The following is a 3836-nucleotide window of genomic DNA, read 5'->3' on the forward strand; positions in this document are numbered from 1 at the left end:
AAATTAAAATGAAGTTCAAGAAATCAAAATGAAATGCAAGAAACTGCAAACATACTGGGCTATGAAATCATGGTGGACAATGAACTAAAGGATCCATCAAGTCTTTGGCAGCATCAGTTTCCAAATGATTTACATAAAATGACAGTGTTTGCAATGAAATAAAATATCAAATCCTCTGATACTTGAATAATTTAACTGATGTTAGAATCTCCTTTTCAGATAATTATTTTCATAGAAAAAATATACAATACTTCTGTCTCATCATTTGCAGAATATCAGTTATCCTTTTTTCAGACCTTATTAGCACCAAAGGGCTCACAGTGGCATAGGCACTGGTCACATGCCTCTGGACACCCAGGACGACTGGGTCATATGTTGATATCAGGATTGAGTAGGATGAGAGACTCAAATCCATCTGGTACATGACCACAAAGAAACTCACCAACAGCAAGATGGTCTCTGTGGCCTTTTTCTGGAGAAACTCTTGGGGAGAGTCTGGTGCTGTGAAGGTGCTGGGATCACCACTGATGCCTGCACAAGAGAGTCACTATGTATGCACTGGAGAGCAGCATAATTCCCACAAAGGACACATCTCTGGATAATGAGAGAGTAAGAAAAATAAGGTGGCTGATGATGACTTCCTTGGGGAAATGAGGCAGTATTTATTGAGTGTCAGAAAACTGGTGTGAGTCGTATTGGAAGAAACCACAGTGTAGAAGATTATGTAACTACTGCAGGACAAACTGAAGGACCATAAGAAGACAAGAACATGTGAAATGTGATTTGTGAATTTATATTTAAACCTCACCAACCAGGAGGTCCTGGGGCTGATGATGATGGCCTGGAGCATGCTCAGGAGGCAGGTGATGCAGATGGAGAGTCCCTCATCACCCCGCTCACCTAGAAATGCATCTTACACTTGAAATCATCTTGAAAATGAAGGGACTTAAAAAGGTCTTGAGACACCAAGAACACAATGGTGAGCAGCATCATGATGTGGACGAGGTCCAAGTGACTGGTGGTCAGGTCAGTGAGCTTGAGATCCAGAAGGAGCGTCATGATACAAGAGAAAAAGAGGAGGATGTTGGTGGAGACTCCAACATCAGCTTGGGCAAAGAAGGCACTTTTGAATGATAACGTTAAGTGGAAACTGTTCATTTTAATGGCAAATAGGAAATATTTTATGTAGCTGAAAAAAACAACCAATAGAACTTCCATCATCAATGTTACTTCAAATTCAAAATTATCACCGTCATTATCATTTTAAATCCATCCATTCATTTTGATTAATGTTGATCATCACATATAAATTCTTAAACATCCAGCCTGATCATTATATGATCAACCAAATTAACATAGTTGAGCGAACACGCACACATTCACAGTCACCCCTGTAGAGGGCGCACATTATCTGTACTCCTATAGTACCAAGGACACACTTTTTTAGTAAGCATTTAGTTCTCACTTTTTGCATTCCTTCATTTAGTTTTCACCACCCAGAACTGTGACATGGTGAATCATGGGTGACATGGGTATGAATCATGGGTGTTTGTAGAACTGAAGTAGATTTTGTGCTAATGGAAAAAGCAATCACCAGAAGTATTTTGGAAAAAAATAATAATGCATTGAGTGGCTGTCATATCACATCACTCTGACATCATGCTGAATATCACATTCATGCATGCAACGTTTCATGTATCCTATAAAAATTATATAACAGACACATAGCAGAAGGTGTTCTTTTCAGATAGTTTTGTGATAGCAAAAAAAAAAAAAATCTCCCTATTAGCAATTAGTATAATAGGATTAAACGTAGTTTTATTATGGTCCTCTACTAAAAGCTTCTTAATGTGAAGTATATTGAAAGTCTTGGGAGCGCGCCGGGCCGGCCCCGCGGTGGGTTCGCTCGGGGACGCACGCGGGTGGACTAGGGGACCGAGCCCAGGCGCCCATGACCCGGGCCGCGACAGCCGAGCCGGGCCGCGTGTCTCCCGCCTCGCCCGCGCGCAGCACGGCGGGCCTGCCGCGCGCCTTCCTGCAGAGCCTGCGCACCCTGTTAGACATCCTGGACGACTGGCAGCGCGGCTGCGTGCACCTGCGAGAGATCCAGTCCCTCTGGGTCGAAGCGCGGGAGCTGCCAAGCGGGGTGCTGGAGGGCCTGAGCCAGGTGACCCCAGCCAGCGGCTACCTAACCTTCCAGCGCTTCGTGGCCGGCCTACGCACCTCGCTGCTGACAGCCGACGGCAGCACCCCGGACCAGGCGCCGCCGCCGCCGCCGCAGCCGCCGCCGCCGTCTCCGCCTCCGCCTCCGCCCCCGCAGCGCCTGGTGTTTGCACCGGCGGACGATCTGCTGACGGTTCTGGAGAGGAAGCCCCTGTCCCTGGGCGTTCGCGCCCCTCTGGCCTGTCCCAGCGGCGCGGGCCGCAGCCGGGAGCAGCTGTACGCTCCCGCCGAGGCGGCGCAGTGCCCCGCGGGGCCCGAGCGGTTCCAGAGCGCTGCGCTGGAACGGAGACCCGGCGCGGACGCAGGTGCAGCGGCCTGCAGCGCCTTGGAGGCGGATTCAGGGGATGCCCGGCGGACCCCTGTGCCCGAGGGGAACACCGGAGGCACACCATCACCAGCGGCGTGGACTGCGGCCTGCTGAAGCAGATGAAGGAGCTGGAGCAGGAGAAGGAGGTGCTGCTACAGGGTTTGGAGATGATGGCGCAGGGCCGCGATTGGTACCAGCAGCAGCTGCAACAAGTGCAGGAGCGCCAGTGCCGCCTGGGCCAGAGCAGAGCCAGCGCCGACTTTGGGGCCGTGGGGAGCCCTCGCCCACTGGGACGGCTACTGCCCAAGGTACAGGAGGTGGCCCGGTGGCTGGGGGAGCTGCTGGCTGAGGCCTGTGCCGGTCGGGCCCTGCCCACATCCTCCTCCGGGCCCCCTTGCTCTGCCCTGACGTCCACCTCGTCCCCGGGCTGGCAGCAGCAGATCATCCTCATGCTGAAGGAGCAGAACCGACTCCTCACCCAGGAGGTGACCGAGAAGAGTGAGCGCATCACGCAGCTGGAGCAGAAGTCGGCGCTCATTAAGCAGCTATTTGAGGCCCGCGCCCTGAGCCAGCAGGATGGGGGTCCTCTGGACTCCACCTTTATCTTTCCCGTGTGGGCTGAGCCGGCCCCCGCAGGGCCGGCCTGGCACTCAGCCCTTCGAGGGCGGGCGCTTCGTCGCACCCAGCCTCTCTGGCTGGAGACCCCCGGCAGGCCCAGGCAGTTCAGGAGTGGGCGCCTTCCTGCCCGCCTTGCCATCCGGGCTCCCCAGGCCTGTCCCCGGCTGGCCCCCACATTGAGCCCTTGACTCGGTTTCGGCTTCCGGTGCTGACATGGGCTGGGGCTCTCTTGAGTCCGCATAGTCCGCAGCTACTACTGCCGCTGTCAGCGGACAGTGGGGGACCCCTCCACGAGTTACCAGATACCTGGTTTCCAGCGGTGCTGCTTTGGGTCCCATCTCCAGGGAAAAGAACTGCTCACGCCAGGCTGCACTTCCACCAAAGGCCAGCAGAGGGCGCGTGGCAGCTCGGATGCGGCGCTGAGGCTGCGCCCGAGACCTGCGGGTCCAAGGGCAGCTTCCCCCACCCCCCGCCCGCCTCAACCAGGGCACCAGGACAAAGTGGCTGTCGCTCGGACGGGAGCAGATGGAGGGGGTGGGGATGGCCTCTAAGCGGGGGATGCCCGCCTGGCAGAGGAGCCCCAGGGATGGCGGTCGGGTTTCAGGTCCCGGCCAAGCTTGAGGGACTCTGACTGCAGCAGATGGGGGAGCCAGGTGGGCGAGAGTTGGGCCTGCGTGTGCCTCCCGCA

At 54.7% G+C, this 3836-nt stretch overlaps 2 pseudogenes; one reads left to right on the forward strand and one right to left on the reverse strand.

Moving 5' to 3' along the window:
- VN1R38P (vomeronasal 1 receptor 38 pseudogene) lies at nt 230–1158 on the reverse strand (annotated as a pseudogene).
- SAPCD2P1 (suppressor APC domain containing 2 pseudogene 1) lies at nt 1874–3435 on the forward strand (annotated as a pseudogene).
- The last annotated feature ends 401 nt before the right edge of the window (nt 3436–3836 follow it).

The sequence above is a fragment of the Homo sapiens genome, chromosome 7, assembly GCF_000001405.40.
Source record: "Homo sapiens chromosome 7, GRCh38.p14 Primary Assembly".
Classification (NCBI taxonomy): Eukaryota; Metazoa; Chordata; class Mammalia; order Primates; family Hominidae; genus Homo; species Homo sapiens.